The 16,779-nt window shown below is 42.9% G+C and overlaps 1 protein-coding gene across 54 annotated transcripts in view, besides 1 other annotated feature; it reads right to left on the bottom strand.

Moving 5' to 3' along the window:
* Positions 1 to 16,779, bottom strand: part of KIAA1217 — an 853,117-nt gene that overhangs the window by 33,343 nt on the left and 802,995 nt on the right. For all 54 annotated transcript variants that reach the window (NM_001098500.3, NM_019590.5, XM_047425513.1 and 51 more), the window contains 2 exons: positions 12,956 to 13,122; positions 1,067 to 1,242 (listed from right to left, as the gene is read on the bottom strand). In NM_001098500.3, the coding sequence (NP_001091970.1) occupies positions 1,067 to 1,242; positions 12,956 to 13,122 (343 nt within the window). The remainder of the gene's footprint in view (positions 1 to 1,066; positions 1,243 to 12,955; positions 13,123 to 16,779) is intronic.
* Positions 12,549 to 13,049: an enhancer, noted in NCBI's record as "H3K4me1 hESC enhancer chr10:24790381-24790881 (GRCh37/hg19 assembly coordinates)". NCBI's record gives its function as "activates a minimal SCP1, AML or CMV promoter by ChIP-STARR-seq in primed H9 embryonic stem cells {active_cell/tissue: H9 hESC(primed)}" and the evidence as "EXISTENCE:reporter gene assay evidence [ECO:0000049][PMID:30033119]".

Below are 16,779 nucleotides of genomic sequence, written 5' to 3'. Positions count from 1 at the left end.
AAAAGAATAACTCAAATTGATGTTTTTTTCCCTCTAGACTGCTGAGAGGGACACTCTAATTTTAATCAAACACATTAGGTTGGCATCCAGGGCGACACGAGCCACAGCTCCAATAGGAGATAGGTGACTGAGCACAATGCTTTCCATCATGGAAATCTTTTCTCATTATGGCCATGAGAAGAGTTTGCAAACTGCTCCCTTACAATCCCCATTTGAAAGATTTAAGTTTTCCAAGAAACAAGAGAATTATCAACACTGGAGAAACCCCTCAAAATTACTATTCATTATACTAAAAGGTGAGATAGTTCTATGATAAATCTTCATTGCATACCAAAACATACAATTACCATAAAAGATGTGCCTGCCTGGTGACGGGGGAGTAATAAAATTCTGCTCATTTCAATAGTAGGACTTGATAGATGCTTTCAATAAGAACCTTAAATAACATTCATAACAGCTAAGGAAGCATTTTTCATTCTGGATCAGATACATTTTACATTTAAATTCTTCTTTTGCAATTTTAACTACAGTTGAATAATAGGAAGATAATTTTAGAGCTGTGTTATTTTGGCCATTAGTTTTAATTTATTGAGATGAAATATAGGCTTCCTATTTGCCATTGGGTTTTGCCATTTACTCCTTTTAATTTTGTGTGTTGCTGAGCCCTGGAGGAGAGTATGAAGCTGCAACTCTCTCTGTTTTTTTTTTTTTTTTAAGAGACAGGATCTCCCTGTGTTACCCAGGCTGGTCTCGAACTCCTGGACTCAAGCAATCCTCCCGCCTCAGCCTCATGAGTAACTGGGACTACAGGTGTGAACTACCATGCCCAGCAATGCCGCAACTTTTAAAGAAATTCAGTCACCTGAGGGCCACTGAATTTCCTGGGCCTCCATGGACAGGTGCTGAAGTGTCCACATATACCAGCATCAGCAGAACTCTAACTTTTACACAGTAGGTGCTCAATAAAGAGAGGGCAAGACCACCAACTGGGAAGGACCTCCTTCTTAGTAATGATAATTTTCCTTTGCAGGTGAAACAGCTCAACATGCAAGTGACTGGCACTCACCACAACTTCTTGACGATCTTCTCTTCCTCATGAAGATATTTTTGTCTCTCTTGCTCCACTAGGACGCGCTGTCGCTGCACGGGATCCTCCAGTCTCTTCATTGTTTCCATCACTTTGCCACTGATTTCCAGCTCGGCCTTCTTCATCATTGCCCTCAGCAACTCCTGGTTCTGCAGCTGTGAACACAAAAAAATCAACCTCAGTGGGCTCTGCCTGCCTGAAATGGAGGCGAGTGAATGCCTTGAAGTCTTCGGAGCACTTTGGGTAGACAGCCCTGCGGCTGAATCTTTACTTATTTCAATGAGAAAGGAAAGGGAGCAAAGACTGTACATAATGTGGCTTCTTCCACCAACATCTGAATTTTGGCAGCCAACTGGCAACCAGACTGCCTGCAAGACAAAGGATCCTTTTTCTACTCTGGTCAATGCATCATGGACAACAGGCGTAAACTCTCACTGATGTATCTTTAGAGGGAGCAGCACAGGGCACCTGCTTTGGAGCCAAGAAGACTTTGGGTCTAATCCCATACTCTCTCTCTAGCCCACTGTGAGACTTTGGGCCCATTATTTAGACTCCCTTGGTCTTCATTTCCTTACCTCTAATGATGGGGAATCCACTTTCCTTGGCCATTCTTGAGGGTTACATGAAATACCGCATGGTGTAGAATGGGAACTCAACACGTGGTGATTTGGCTATGAAATACGTCAGTATCAGTTCAAAGAGGATCTGTGTCCTTTTCGTTCACATGGTTCCATGTACCAAGTACCATGAAATCACAGATGCTTAAAACATAGGACTTTAATGTTGGCAATGATAATGATTCTGGATGAGTCCAGGGCTTTTGGCAATTTATGAATTTCTCTAGATTGGAGGTAGGCTACCTGTATACAGAACTCACAATTTCCAAACAGTTCCGAGAACATTCTTGTTTCTCATCCCAGAGAATATAGGAGGTGGGAGCTTTATTCAGGCTTCGCAGGAGTCTGGTTGAGCACTTGAGTCCCTGGAGCAGGACAATTTTCTAACAGCAGCTCCATCGAGTGAATTCACTCAATCAGCCTCCATCACAATAATGATATTATGCCTAGTATATTATCCCCAAAGTTCCACTGAAATATCATTTAACAAATTTCAATGGTTTCCTGTTTTCCGGTTTCATGGACTGGTTTATCATCTCATGGGGGTGATGATGTCTTTGTCAACTGTCCATTATCCATGTAAATTGAGGGGAAATGCAATCTGACCATGTCACCACCTGCTTAAAGCCACATCATGCCTTCTGTTTTCTCTGAATAAAGATAAAACATTTCAACACAGGCCACAAGCAGAACCACCATTAGGTCCCAACATCAGCACTGCATGGTGATGAACTGGCCTCTGGGGAAAGACTGCCTGGGTTCGATTTCCAGTTTTACCACTTAGTAGATGTGTGTCCATGGGCAAGCTATTCACCTCTGTGTCTATCCAAAAAAGGGGTAGTAATATCTCATAGCTCGTAGGTTGGTCATGGAGACTCGGTGAGACAATAAAATAAAGTGTCTGGCACCAATCTAAACCTGAACACGTACCAGCCATTGCTAACAGGGAGGGTGAACTAGTGGGTGGAGCCTGGCATTTTGTCTGGGAGGGAACCACATAGAAATGTATCACTTTTGGTTACTTTCTCTACAGGACTCATGATCATGCTCTCACACCACTTTTGCTAATGTCTTTTTATTGTGGTATTAAAAGCCAGTCAGTCACTATTTTGCTAAAAGGCATCATTTTTTTGCTTGTTTGTTTTTTTTGAGATGGAGTTTCACTCTTGTTGCCCAGGCTGGAGTGCAATGGCACGATCTCAGTTCACTGCAACCTCTGCCTCCCGGGTTCAAACGATTCTTCTGCCTCAGCCTCCCAAGTAGCTGGGATTACAGGTGCCCACCACACCACCACACCCGGCTAATTTTGAATTTTTAGTAGAGATGGGGTTTCTCCATGATCATCAGGCAGGTCTCGAACTCCTGACCGCAAGTGATCTGCCCGCCGCAGCCTTCCAAAGTGCTGGGATTACAGGCATGAGCCACCGTGCCCAGCCAAAAAGCACCATTTTTAGAGACAGTGTACAGAGAACAACATCCTCCTATGCTCTCTCTGGCTGCAGCCCATTCTCCAGGCGCTGGGCAATCTGGTCGCTTCCCTTGTGGCTAATCTCCCTCCCTCCATGCACCTGGCACTCTGCTCAAGCCATACATCATTTCAGTTCTTCATAGGGGCCAGGCTCCTTTTTTTTTTTTTTTTTTTTTGAGACAGAGTCTCACTCTGTTGCCCAGGGTGGAGTGCAGTGGTGTGATCGCAGCTCACTGCAACCTCCGCCAGACTCCTATTTGCCAGGCCTTTGCACCTGCTATTCCCATCTCCCAGAATGCTCTTCCCTCCACCTGGTTAATTTCTGCCCTCCACAGAGTCTCTGGTACACTGTGTCTGGCATATTAGCAGAAAACTGAAAATACATCTGTTGAATGAATGAACTGAATGAATCAGTAACATTGATAAGAACAGGCAACAATGAAGAATCCAAAATTCTTCTCTAAATGGTTGAAACCTGCTGTGACCCATGGGCTTAGATATGTGTTGGGATCAGCTCTCCTGTGCCTTGTCTTGCTCTCACTGCGGGGATGTGGCAGGGCTACAGGTCAGCACTGTTCATATCGGTTGATTAACCACACACAGCAAAGCCACGTGCTATCAAGATGATTTGCTCAACTTCAGTCCCTGTGTCCAATCCCACAGAGCTCCTGCCTTTGAAGGGGGCGGGAATGAGTGATGACAGGGTTGTGAGGGGAAAATGAGTAGATAATTAAATGGGTCTAAGAGTGACCAATGCCTGGGTCCCAACTGAGAGATTCTCATTTTACTGGTCTGAGGTACCGTCTGGTTGTTGGGAATTTCTAAAACTCCTCATATGATTCGATTTGCCACCAAGGATGATTTCATGGACTAAGAAAAGGGCTTTTGAATAGACAGATGATGTCACTGTGCCATGAGCTATGGGGCACAGCAGGGCACCTAACCCTCCTGCCCAAATTTTAAAACAAGCTTACGTAAATCTGGGGTCTGGTTAGATAGTGGATATTAACAATGGATATCATGCTAGAAATTATTGGTGGAATATTTAAAATTCATAAAATTGAAAGGTGGGAAAAGTGAGGCCCTGAGAAGTCAAAGGACATGCTCAGGGTGTGCTCGGCAATTAGAGAGCACAGTTAGGATTAGAACCAGGTCTTCTGAATTCAACTCATCAATTTCCCCACCACCCCAAGTTGTTCTTCTATCAAGGCAGGGAGCATGCCATTTTGTTCACAGCTACAAGCAGCGTGTGGCACATGGTAGGTACCCAACATATACAGTTGACACTTGAACAACACAGGTTAGAACTGCATGCATGGGTCCACTTATATGTAGATTTCCTTCCTCTTCTGCCACCCCTGAGACAGCAAGACCAACCCCTTCTCTTCCTCAATCTATTCAATGAGAAGACAATGAGGATGAAGACCTTTATAATGATCCACTTCCACTTAATGAATATTATGATTTTCCCTTTCTTATGATTTTCTTAATAACATTTTCTTTTCTTCAACTTACTTTATTGTCAGAATACAGTATATATTTGACACAGCAGGCATGTGAAAAAAACAAATATAGTATATAATATGTACAACATACAAAATATGTGTTAATCAACTGTTTATATTATTGGTAAGGCTTCCACTCAACAGTAGGCTATTAGTAGTTAAGTTTGGGGGAGCCAAAAGTTATGGATTTCTTACTGCATGAGGGGTCAGCACCCCAACCCCCATGTTGTTCAAGGGGCAACTGTATTTGCTCTATGAATGAATCGCAATATAACGTTTCTGAGAAGGATAAGAAATATTGGAAAATACAACGGGGCATAATGTTTAAACACAACTAGACTTACTCCACTAGAAGAGGAGGAGAGGGAGAGGCTCTGTTTCAATCCTAGGCTTTATTATCCTCCTGTCTAGAAAGCGGGGCCTTACAGGATCCTGCTGAGGGTACTAAAGAGGGAAGCTGTCATAGCTCACCGGCTGGCACGTGGGCAATGAGGAGTGAATCATGAATGAACAAGGTCTACATAGGTTCTCTGTCTGCTTTCCCAGTCCCCCTGCCCTCCCTGTCTGGTGTTCTTGCCACTGTCTCCAGGCTGCAGGACAGTTCCTGCTTATCTGAGCACAGTGTAAAAAAGTGCTAAAGATATGATGTGGATCACCATCTTTCTCTAAATGCTTCAAGTAAATTACTTTTTGGAAGCTCAAATTGTTAAGTTGGTTTTTGCTTAAGAGGTGATACCTACATTTCAATAGTTAAAATCAACTGTCTTGAGGCACAAAGTTTACAGACAATAAAACATATCCATCTTAAGTGCACCGTTCGATGAATTTTGACAAATGTATACACTGATGTAACCACTGCTGAAAGACAGCTATATATTTTATCATCCTAAAAAATTCCTTTGAGACCTTTTACAATCAATCCCCAAGCCCCAGCCCAAAGAAACCACCACTCTGCTTTCTGTCATTATAGATGAGTTCTTTGTGTTCTAGAACGTTATAAAAATGGAATTATATAACATGTGCTCCTTTGTGTCCAGCTTATTTTGTTCAGAATATGTTTTTCTGAGATCCAGCCCTGTTGCTGAGTTTTTCAGTGATTCATTCTTTTATTGCTAAGTGGCATTTCATTGTACAAATGGATATAACAAAATTTTAATATTTGTGTACATTGACTTGATTCTTGTGATCTTGCTCAAGTCACTTATTTCTAGTAGCATGTTTTGTAGATTCCATTTAATGTTACACATATATAATCATGTCATTTGTGAGTAAAGCCAATTAGACATTTTACATTTCGATTTGTGTGACTCTATTTCTTTCTCTAGCCATACTGAACTTGCTACAATCTTCAGTACAGTGTTAAACAGATGTCAGAGTAGGTTTCTTGGCCTTGCTCCTGATTTTATGGGGAATGTGTTTAGTGTTTCACCATTAACTATGTTTTCTGTAGGTCATTCACAAACATTGTTTATCAAGGTAAGGAAGCTTCCTTCTACTTCTAGAGCGCTGTTTTTATCATTGATGCTAAATTTTGTTACATGCTTTTTCTGCATTTATTGAAATACGATTTTTCTGTTAATAAGGTCAAATACGTTGATTTTTTTCGTATTAAAACAATCTTGCATTCCTGGAATAAAACCCCAGGATAATGTATTATTCTTTTTATATATTGCTGGATTCAGTTACTAACGTTTTGTTAAGGATTTGTTACATATATTTTCGTGAGGGATATTGGTTTGTGGTTTTCTTCCCTTATAATATTTTTGTCTGGTTTTGCTCTTAGGGTAATGCAGGCTTCATAAAATGAGTTAGGAAGTATTCTCTGTTTTCTGAAAGACTTTTCTTCCTTTCAATACTTTAAAGACGTCATTCCACTGTGTCCTGACTTGCCTTTTGTTTCTGATGAGAAGTTGGCATTAATTCTTAATTGTGATTCCTGTATGTAATGGGTTTTCTCTCCACCCCCAGCTGCTTTGAAGATTTTTCCATTTATCTCTGGTTTTTAGCAATTTGACTACCATGTGCTTTGGTGCAATTTCCATTGTGCTTACCATTCTAGGGGTTCACTGAGCTTTTTTGGTCTGTGGATTTACAGCTTTCATCAAATTTGGAAAAAATTCAGTCATTACCTTTTTGAATATTTTTCTCTTTCCACTTCATCTTTTATTAATATTGTCTCACTGGTCACTACATTTTAATTCATTTTCTTTAGTCTCTTGTCTCTCTATACTTCAGTTTGAACAGTTTCCATTGCTGTTTTTAGGGTGACTGACATTTTGGGCAGTGATTAATCTTCTGTTAAGCACATTTGGATATTGTTTTTCAGCTCTTGAAAGCTCCACTTGGATATTTTTTATATCTTCCATTTCTTTCCTCATTATGTTCATGTCTTCCTTTAAATCCTTGAGAATAATTATAATAGCTGTTTTGAAGTCCTTGCTGCTGATTTCATTATCCCTGCCATGTCTGGTTGGTTTCTCTTGACAAATTTTTCTTAATGTTATAGGTCACATTTGTCAGCATCATCACATGTCTAGTAATTTTTGAGTGGATATTGGGCATGGAGCTCTGAATTTTGTTGTTTTCCTTTACAGATTTTGGACTTTCTCTGGCAGACAGTCCAGTTACTTGTGGATCAGCTTTGTCCTTTAAAGGCTTATTTTTAAGCAGTTAGGTTAAATCAAGGGTAGTCTTTCCTCTGGGGCTAGTTTAGTCCTAAGACTGAGGCACAGTCCTTCTCCGATCTCTACAAAATGCCCAGGTGCTCAACAAGGCCTCTTCGCTTTTTGCTTTTCAAAACGTGAACATCTCCCAGGCCTGTGTGAACTTCGGGAACTTTTTGGCTTACAGCCCCCGACTTAGTTTCTGCCTGGCTTAGCGGTTGCTTTCACACTGTACATGCTTGGCTTAATATTTAATAACAGACCCATTTATTGATGTACTTCTTTCTCTGCAGAGCTTTCTTGTGTTTGGTTCTCCAGTCCACCAGTTCTAGCTGTTTCAGCTCTCTCTAAACTTTGGTCTTATCTCCTCAACTCACTGTCAGTGCCATGCTTGGGTTTTTCCTTCCTGCACCAAGATCTGAAAAGTGCCTCCAGACAGAAAGCTGGGTCAACTGTAGGTTTTTTCCCCCCATTCTCCTAAGGATTACGGTCCTGTGTTGTTTAATTTCTGAAAACATTTGTTTCATACATTTGCTTATTTTTCAGTTTTCTAGTTGCCCACAGTGGGAGGGCAAGTAGAGTTGCAGTTATTCCTCATAGCTAGAAAGATAATTTATTGAAAATGCTTTGCCATTTTTATAAGCACTCTTGTAAAATAAGAGACAGAAATAATGCTCTTGTCCATTAAAATTTTAATTGGACCAAATAAGTTATCCAAATCACTTCATGGAGAAACTAGCAAATGCCTAAACCTAATTCCCCCAACCTGAAAATGGACCTATATCTCACATACTCAATTTTGATTTCTTAGGTAAAATCTAAGACTATCAGTCTTGCCAACAATGGATAATGTAATTGGACTGATTTTGCTGTCTAGCAGTGACATGGAACAGTGGTTATACCACAAATCAGAAAGATTCAGGAGGAAAGCCAGACCTCAGAACGACTCCTGATCCCACCTGGATCTGTTCCTGCAGGCTTCAGGGAACAAGACAAGGGATGCCTGGTCACAGCTATATAACCCATGTTATTGGGGTGCTGTCTCCCCATCTTAGAAAGCTTCTTGTTGTCTGAAGATCTGACTAGACCTTGGCACATTGTAAGCAGCCTAATCGTCAAGCCCTGTACTAGTTCCGTTTATTATTTCTGCTTGGCAGGGGACACGGGTCTGTTGCACATGGGAAACTCCAATATGCTGTTCTCAGGGATCCGCATTCCCGTGACCATTGTTATGCATGTCAGAAGATAAATGAGACCCTGGCACATTTCCACGAGGCGCCATCTCATAAAAAGACACATTAAGGAAATTGTATTGAATTGTATCATTTCAAATACATAGGGCTCTATGCACTACTGTGTTTATTTTTTATGTTGATATTTTACCTCCTCCTTCTCTTGGGAAGGGACAGTAAATTCTCAGGAGTCCTACAAATGTAATGAACAACCCAATTTTTTATTTATCAGGAAGCAGAATAAAGAGATTGGGGATGAAAGAAGTAGGAGGTCGCCATCCTCTCTTTATGCCAAGCCTATCTGGCCTCCACAGAACCTGTACCATCTCTTCCAGAAGCTTCTCTCTCTCTCCTCAGCCACCCACAAGGAGGGGAAGAAGTGCAGTCACTTCTGTAGATATGGGATGACTTTGGTAAAATCCAAGTACTGTGGCATTTTGGGAAAAAGATGTTCATTATTTAGAAAAAGTGGGCTTTTTTTCAAAATGATATCAGGAAAGGTAACAGGCAAACATAATCATCATTGGAGGAGAACATCTGTTAGGCACAAAACCTTGACAAAACCCTTTCCCATTGTTGCTAGCTAATTACAGACCCAACCGTTATTTGGGAATGGGAATATCACACTATAAAGGTTCCATATAGCTCTCATACCAAATGTAGCTAGCAGAGAACATACTAGATTAGCCACTGGGAATGAGGTGCATTGTTTGAAGTCAAGGCTTTAAGTCATTGGTAATAGCTGGCTATCTCAACATTTCCAGGAGGTGTCTTCATGGACTAAGCATTCATATTACCTGTAGCCAAGAGGTAAAAACAGTAGTTTTTACCCTGGAATGTTCTAGAGTCACCAGTGCCTAGCCTCCAGTCCGTGCCAGTGAAGTCAGACTCTGGCCATCGTGCCTGAGCACTGGTATTTTTGCTAAGGGTTTCAAATAATTCTAATGAGTAGCCAGGATTGAGAACCACTCTTAGACCGATAACTCCTGTGAAATTGGAGAGCAGAAGATAACATGAACAAGCTTTTAGTGGTTTCCTTGATCTTCTGCTTAGGTTCCCCTTGTCCCATTGAAATCTACCCACCCCATTGTGTCTGCAACAAATTTCTATTCCTGAGAATAATCCATCAGTTTTGAAAATGAAATGCTCAAATAGGATATGCTCTACAGTCTAGGATTTTCCAATGATTTAATTATCTAATTACTGGAGCTGGCTGCCAAGCACAAATGGTTTTATTCAGTTTCACTATTTTATAACACAGTTCAAAGAATATTTGAATTTCTAATTCAATTTTTGTTCTTTTGAGACTAGTCTAGTGTTTCGTATATCTCTAATGATAGCTCCATTATTGGACTTAGAGCCACTGTGCGGCTGCAGTTCATTTTTGGTATATAATACCGCACATGTTGAAGGAGAATTGGTGCCGAGATAGCTTAATTATTCTAAGCTGTTTTTGTCTTAAGTAGACTCCCTCGATTGAAAAGACAGAAGTTTGATGGGGAGGAAAGCTGAATGGGACCCAGGGAATACAAATGCAGAGGTAGAAACAGTAACAGCCAGGTTAGGAAACACCATGCTTATTTTTCCCTGCGAGTCTGCGCTTTAGAACTGCCCAACTTCCCAGGCTCAAAAGCACATTTGCTCACTGTTCTTTATTCCCAGAAAGCCAGAAAAGTTGAGTAGTTCTGGAGCAATAAAGAAACTTGTGTGGTTAACACAGCATTCCTAGACCTTGACCAAAGACCTTCTTTGTTTAAGAAAACTGCTCTTTTTCACAAAGCTGCACAGTTCAAGGGTTGCAAGGCGAGACAAGTGTGAGAGATCCCTCCCAGCCGGCCAGAGGACCAAACTACGCCAGCCACTGATGGGGTGACGCTGTAGCTACAGACATCAAGAGAGCCTTGGTATCAAATTCACCTCTAACGCCTGTGAAATTCCCAGGGGAAGTGCGGCATTTATGCTAAAGCAATTCCATCCCTGTCCCCAAACCAACAAATGCTCACTTTTGAGAGCAGTTAGGTACTTCCATACAAATGATATGTATGTTTTTCTTAAAGGGCGCAATGAGGAGGTAACAATTTCGAAATGGCCAGCAGATGGTGCCAAAAGGCAGGAGCAGTGAAGGGAAGGGCTTGACCTCCAGGAGCCCCAGGTAAGAACGAACTTGGGAGCCGATAGGCCCCCTCTGAACTGCAATTGTGTCCTTTGGCCTGCAGAGTACTCAGTAATTAGTTTTCAATTACTTTCCAACATTTTTAAATGGCGGTAATTCATATAAAACCTGTGTCTCCAGATTTGCTTGAAATATTGAAACATCTAGAAACACTGGATACTTATTCTATCAGGTTAAGAGCCAGTTGGAACTGAGTGGCTACTATCCTTTAAAGGGGCCAATTTACTGTGGTCTCTCCTCCATTTCACTTGCTGTTACTGCCCGGACACTGAAGACATGTGACTTTGTCACCCCCTGACACAACCCAGCCCAACCCGTACACTTCATTTCATTGCAATGTGTCTTTAAAATTGCAAAGCGAGAGGAAGCTAATGCAAAGGATGGGGCCATCACAGACGATGAGATTCACTAGGAGATTTAAATGAATTTGCATCAGATGTTCAAGGTATCTGGGATGTTGCCTAAGAGACAGAGTAGCCTTTGGAGATCAGAGCCCTCACTCTTCTAGCAACCGTCATGATCCATGCTGGGGCCTTGGGGCAGGTCTCTCAAACCAGCTGCCTTTCTGTGTGTTTTCTGGTAGGCAGAGGGCAAGGGGAAATTGTTTTCTTAGCTTTCATTAGGTGGTTAAACAACTTAGGGCTTGTGCTGTCGCTGTGCTGAAGAAGCAGAACCGATTGGAAGCCTTTTTCCTATTAGAGGAAAGGGCTCAGGAGGTTGCATCCCCATGGCTGCTCCAGGATCCTGGATACATTTATCTTGTTTTTTTTGAGACATAGTCTTGGTCTATTGCCCAGGCTGGAGTGCAATGGTGCTATCCTGGCTCATGCAACCTCTGCCTTCCACATTCAAGTGATTCTCAAGTCTCAGCCTCCCTAGTAGCTGGGACTAGAGGCACACCCCACCATGCCTGGCTAATTTTTTTTCAGTATAAATGGGGTTTCACCACATTGGCCAGGCTGGTCTTGAAGTCCTGACCTCGTCATCCACCTGCCTCGTCCTCCCAAAGTGCTGGGATTACAGGCATGAGCCATGACACCTGGCCCTATCTTCTAGCACTATTTGGATTATGAGCTTCTGGAAGTCAGGGAGGATATCTGTATAGAGCCTAGGCCAGCACTGTATCCTCAACGACCAACCTACCAGCCAGGGCAGGGAGGTGGGAGAAGGTGCACAGAGCAAATATGTGGTCTCATGCAGAGATGCACATCTCTACCTCCTTATTACCCAGGAGACAGCTTATTCTGCTTTGGCAGATTTACGGGATTTGTTGACCAAGATTCGTGACCTGAAGGGTCACTTATCCTGATTCCCGTAGAGTTTATATATTCCTTAACAATGGAAAAGAGCAAGGAACGGATGGATCACAGTATCTGAATGAAATGCAGATGTTTTTCGTAACAAATCACCATGATGGCTTTTTTTCCTTATGAATTCATCTTCTATTCTAAACTCATAGTTCTAAATACATCACAGATCCTTGCAAAAAAAATGAAAAAAAAAAAAAAAAAAAAAGCTTGGCTGACTATCCACCTTTGTCCCCGTTCAGTGTGGAGGAGGATGGAGCCTCCAAGCTGTCAGAAGTCAGCCTTCACTGGCTGTCGGCATGCTCCCCGTGGCCCCTCTCCTTTCGGCTCTTCTCCAAAAACAAATGCCCTAGAGTCTCTTCCTGCGTAAAAGTACGCACAGCTTAAAGAAGTGGTTGTAGGCCAGACGCGGTGGCTCAAGACTGTAATCCCAGCACTTTGGGAGGCCGAGGCAGGTGGATCACGAGGTCAGGAGATCGAGACCATCCTGGCTAACACGGTGAAACCCCGTCTCTACTAAAACATAGAAAAAATTAGCCGGGCGTGGTGGCGGGCGCCTGTAGTTCCAGCTACTCGGGAGGCTGAGGCAGGAGAATGGCGTGAACCCGGGAGACGGAGCTTGCAGTGAGCCGAGATCGCGCCACTGCACTCCAGCCTGGGGGACAAAGCGAGACTACGTCTCAAAAAAAAAAAAAAAAAAAAAAAAAAAAAAAAAAAAAGAAGTGGTTATAGATTGACTATAGTTGCAGTGGAAGGCTCTAGACTTGGATTGTGTGTGTGAGAGAGGAAGCCATGCTGTTTCTATGGTTCTACATTCTCTAGGTCTTCACGGAGCCCCTAGGAAAAGGAAGGTAGGAAGAGCTCAGGGCAACCGAGACAGAGGCCGCCGTGCATGAGGAATACCTGGAGCTGCCGCATCTGCTGGAGCTGGAGCCTGAGTTCCGCCACGCTCCGCCTCATCTCAAGCAGGCTCATGTGGATGGCTGAGGTGCCCACAGGTGGAGGCTGGCTGGGAGGCACCGTGGACTCCAGAGCACTGAGCATCTTCCCACCAGACACATGGGGCGTTCCTATGAGAAAAGTGCATCAGAGAACTCAGAAGGCCACAAAGGAAAGTCTAAGCTATGCATCCCATCCCAATGCAGATGACTGGTAATTCTAAAAAGGCCTAATTCTCTCATTACAAAAAATATGCATATATATGAATCACACAGTGTTATGGTATGCAGTGTGCAATGATCACATTCTAGAAGTTTAGTAAGAAAGTGCCATAGGAAGACAGGCCACAGAGCTGCCTATGCTCCTATCTATCTATCCACTGATTGTTCTATCAATTGATCAATTTTGTTTATTTTTTTTTTATTTTAATTTTTTTTTCTTTTCTTAACCCCTGGAAGTAGAGCTTTTTTAAACACACAGGTTTGCATAGAGAAAAGCTTAGAAGTGTATAAAACAAAGTGTTAACGGTATCTCCAGCTGTGCTTTTCCAATATAAGGTTTTTTGTTTGTTTGTTTACTATTTTTTATTTTTGAGAACAGGGTCTCACCGTATTGCCCAGGCAGGTCTCGAACACCTGGGCTCAAGCTATCCTCCTGCCTCTGCCTCCCTAAGAGCTAGGATTACAGGCGTGAACCACCGCACTTGGCCAATTTTTTGTATTTCTAAAATCTGCATACTGAATATCTGCAATTTTATAATAGAGAAAACTAATTTTAAAATTCTGAGACCTAATATAGAGTGCTTATGTGCCTATTTTCTGCACAGCAAATGTAACCTAAGGACATGCAACTTATTTCTGGGCAGAGATTCAGCCAATCGCCAAGGGGAGATTAGTAAGAACTGGGTACTGTCCTGAATCCCTTCAGATTTCCAAAATGAAAAGAAAGAGGGCATCTGCACACAACTCCTTTAGTAAGAAAATAAGGCAAGATGCAAAAATTCTTCAGGAGGGGACTCTAAAAAGGACAATGCAATTCTATTGATACAGGTACCTGGAGTAGAGGCTGGATCCATGTTACTAATAAAGACACACACACACACACACACACACGCACACACTCTTCTGGAGTAGAGGCTGGATCCATATTACTAATAAAGACACGCACACACACACACGCATGCACACACTGTTCTGGAGTAAAGGCTGGATCCATGTTACTAATAAAGACACACACACACACGCACACACACTCTTCTGGAGTAGAGGCTGGATCCATGTTACTAATAAAGACACACACACACACACACACACACACACACACACTTCTGTTCAGTTCTCTTTCCTGTAAAGCTTTGTCACAGGCCAGGCTGGCCTTGCAGGACAGAGCACTGCTGGCCACTTGCAGACCCTGGAGTGGCTATAGTGTGGTGGTACCCTGTCTTTCCATCCTGGCTCAGTCATTTCGGGAACCTTTCCCGCTCCAGCACACACAACTCAGCCAGGCCCCAGTGGAGCTCAAAGTGGCTCATGAGCCAGGGAGCTCCCTGAAACTATCCTCTTTCTTGCTTGGCCTTGGCGATGCTGATGCTGCTGGCGCCCCATGGTCTTCATCCATGAGTGACCATCCAAATAGGGCCAGTCTCCCAGCCCCTCTAATGGCCCTCTTGGGGAGGCAGCAGGGGAGCAGGCCAGAAGGCATTTTAAAGAACTGACAATGGAGCTCCAGGAGACCCGATAGCGAGCTTTTTGTTATGTTTCTTTCTTTCTTTTTTTTGAGACAGAGTCTCGCTCTGTCTTGTCCAGGCTGGAGTGCAGTGGCATGATCTTGGCTCACTGCAGCCTCTGCCTCCTGGGTGCAAGCGATTTTCCTGTCTCAGCCTCCCGAGTAGCTGGGACTACAGGTGCACACCACAACACCCAGTTAATTTTGTATTTTTAGTAGAGACGAGGTTTCACCATGTTATCCAGGCTAGTCTCGGACTCCTGACCTCAGGTGATCCACCTGCCTCGGCCTCCCAAAGTGCTGGGATTACAGGCGTGGGCCACCGCGCCCAGCCACGTTATGTTTCTAAGCCTAAATGGTCACTCACATCACCAGTCATGGCTCTGACCAATTTCTGGTGGTTCCTCCACCCCTCAAATCAAAATCATCCTCGAAAGAGCAAGATTTGTCATCTCTGCTGTTGTTCAAAAGGATATTCTCCAACTATGAAAGTACCAAGTAAAACATATCTGATAACATTTCCAATGACAGCTGCATGTTAGAGTTAACAGTGCCTTCCAATGTCAGTGATTCTGACCACAATCCATTGGAAGTTTTCCTTACAGAATCAGTCAAATTACTTTATCATCATTCCCCAGACAGAGAGGGATAGGCACTCTTTGAGGGATAGGCGCACACACACTCACAACATGCCATATCATTTCTGATAACAAGGTATTTCTCCAACAAAGATGACACTGTGCTACCTTCTGTTTGCTACTAAGAACCATTCTGCTAATTCCTCAGCCAAAGGAAATCACACATTCTTTCTATACCTCTTTCTCCTTACACATTCTGAGGCCACCAAGGTACCTCCCTCCCCTCGATCTTTTATTCCATGGAGGAAAAGGCTGAAGACTAGGTACTAGTTGTTACAGTTGAATGCTGATAACTGGTTTAAGAAGATAACTTTCACAGCGCAATTTTTTTGTTTTAACATGGTTTCGCTCTGTCACTCAGGCTTGAGTGCAGCGGTGCAATTCCCCGAGCCTCAACCTTCCTGGTCTCAGGTGATCCTCCCACATCAGCCTTCCAAAGCTGGGACTATGGGTATGTGCCACCACATCTGGCTAATATTTTTGTATTTTTTGTAGAGACGGGGTTTTGCCATGTTGCCCAGGGTGGTCTTGAACTCCTGGCCTCAAGCGATCCTCCTGCCTCGGCCAAAGTGCTGGGATTATAGGCGTGGGTCACCATGCCAAGCCACAACCAAATTTCTTAATGGAATCTATACTCACTTAAAAAAATCTTCATCTATAACCTCTTAATCTCCTATATTTGGTACATGTCATAGCTCCTTCATTCTCTGAAATGGCTCTTTATGTTCATTTCAGCGATCTTCTAGTTGTCACCCCTGTGGACTCTCTCCTTTGCTTCAATGTGACACTAAGCTTTGTCAGCCACTTCTTTTCCTTTTAGTCACTTTGAAACTTTCCATGATCTTCTTCCCTTTCTGCTGCTCCGTCTTGGTCAATCTCTTTTCTAACTCCTTCCTCTGCCAACCTTTTAAATCCTGATATGTTGTGTCCCTGGGTCCACTTCTCTTCTTGCTGGACATACTTTCTAGGGAGGCCACTTCTGCTACCACCACCCACCAAGGTCTCCCGCACCCTCGTCAGCAGCACACAATCATCTTCAGATCCACATACTAACGCCTTCACGCCACTACTGAACTTTTCCATAAACAAGTCAAATTCATTATTTCCACTCGTCTTCCACAAAGCTCTTTCTGTCTCTGTGGGCCTAATTGTATTATATATATAATTTCAATAACTTTTGAGGAACAAGTAGTTTTTGGATACATGGATGAATTGTATAGTGGAGAAGTCGGAGATTTTAGTACACCCATCACCTGAGTAGTGTACTTTGTACCCAATTCGTAGTTTTTTTTATCCCTCATCCCCTCCCACCCTGCCCACTTCTGAGTCTCCAATGTCCATTATAATACGGGCCTAATTGTAGCCAGTGGCACCACTATCTACTCAATTATCAGCCAGTCAGGCTGTCACTTTTTTTTTTTTTTT

This window comes from Homo sapiens, chromosome 10 (assembly GCF_000001405.40).
Source record: "Homo sapiens chromosome 10, GRCh38.p14 Primary Assembly".
Taxonomy (NCBI): domain Eukaryota; kingdom Metazoa; phylum Chordata; class Mammalia; order Primates; family Hominidae; genus Homo; species Homo sapiens.
Note: the sequence above shows the minus strand (reverse complement) of the source record. Positions and strands in the feature narration are given on the sequence as shown.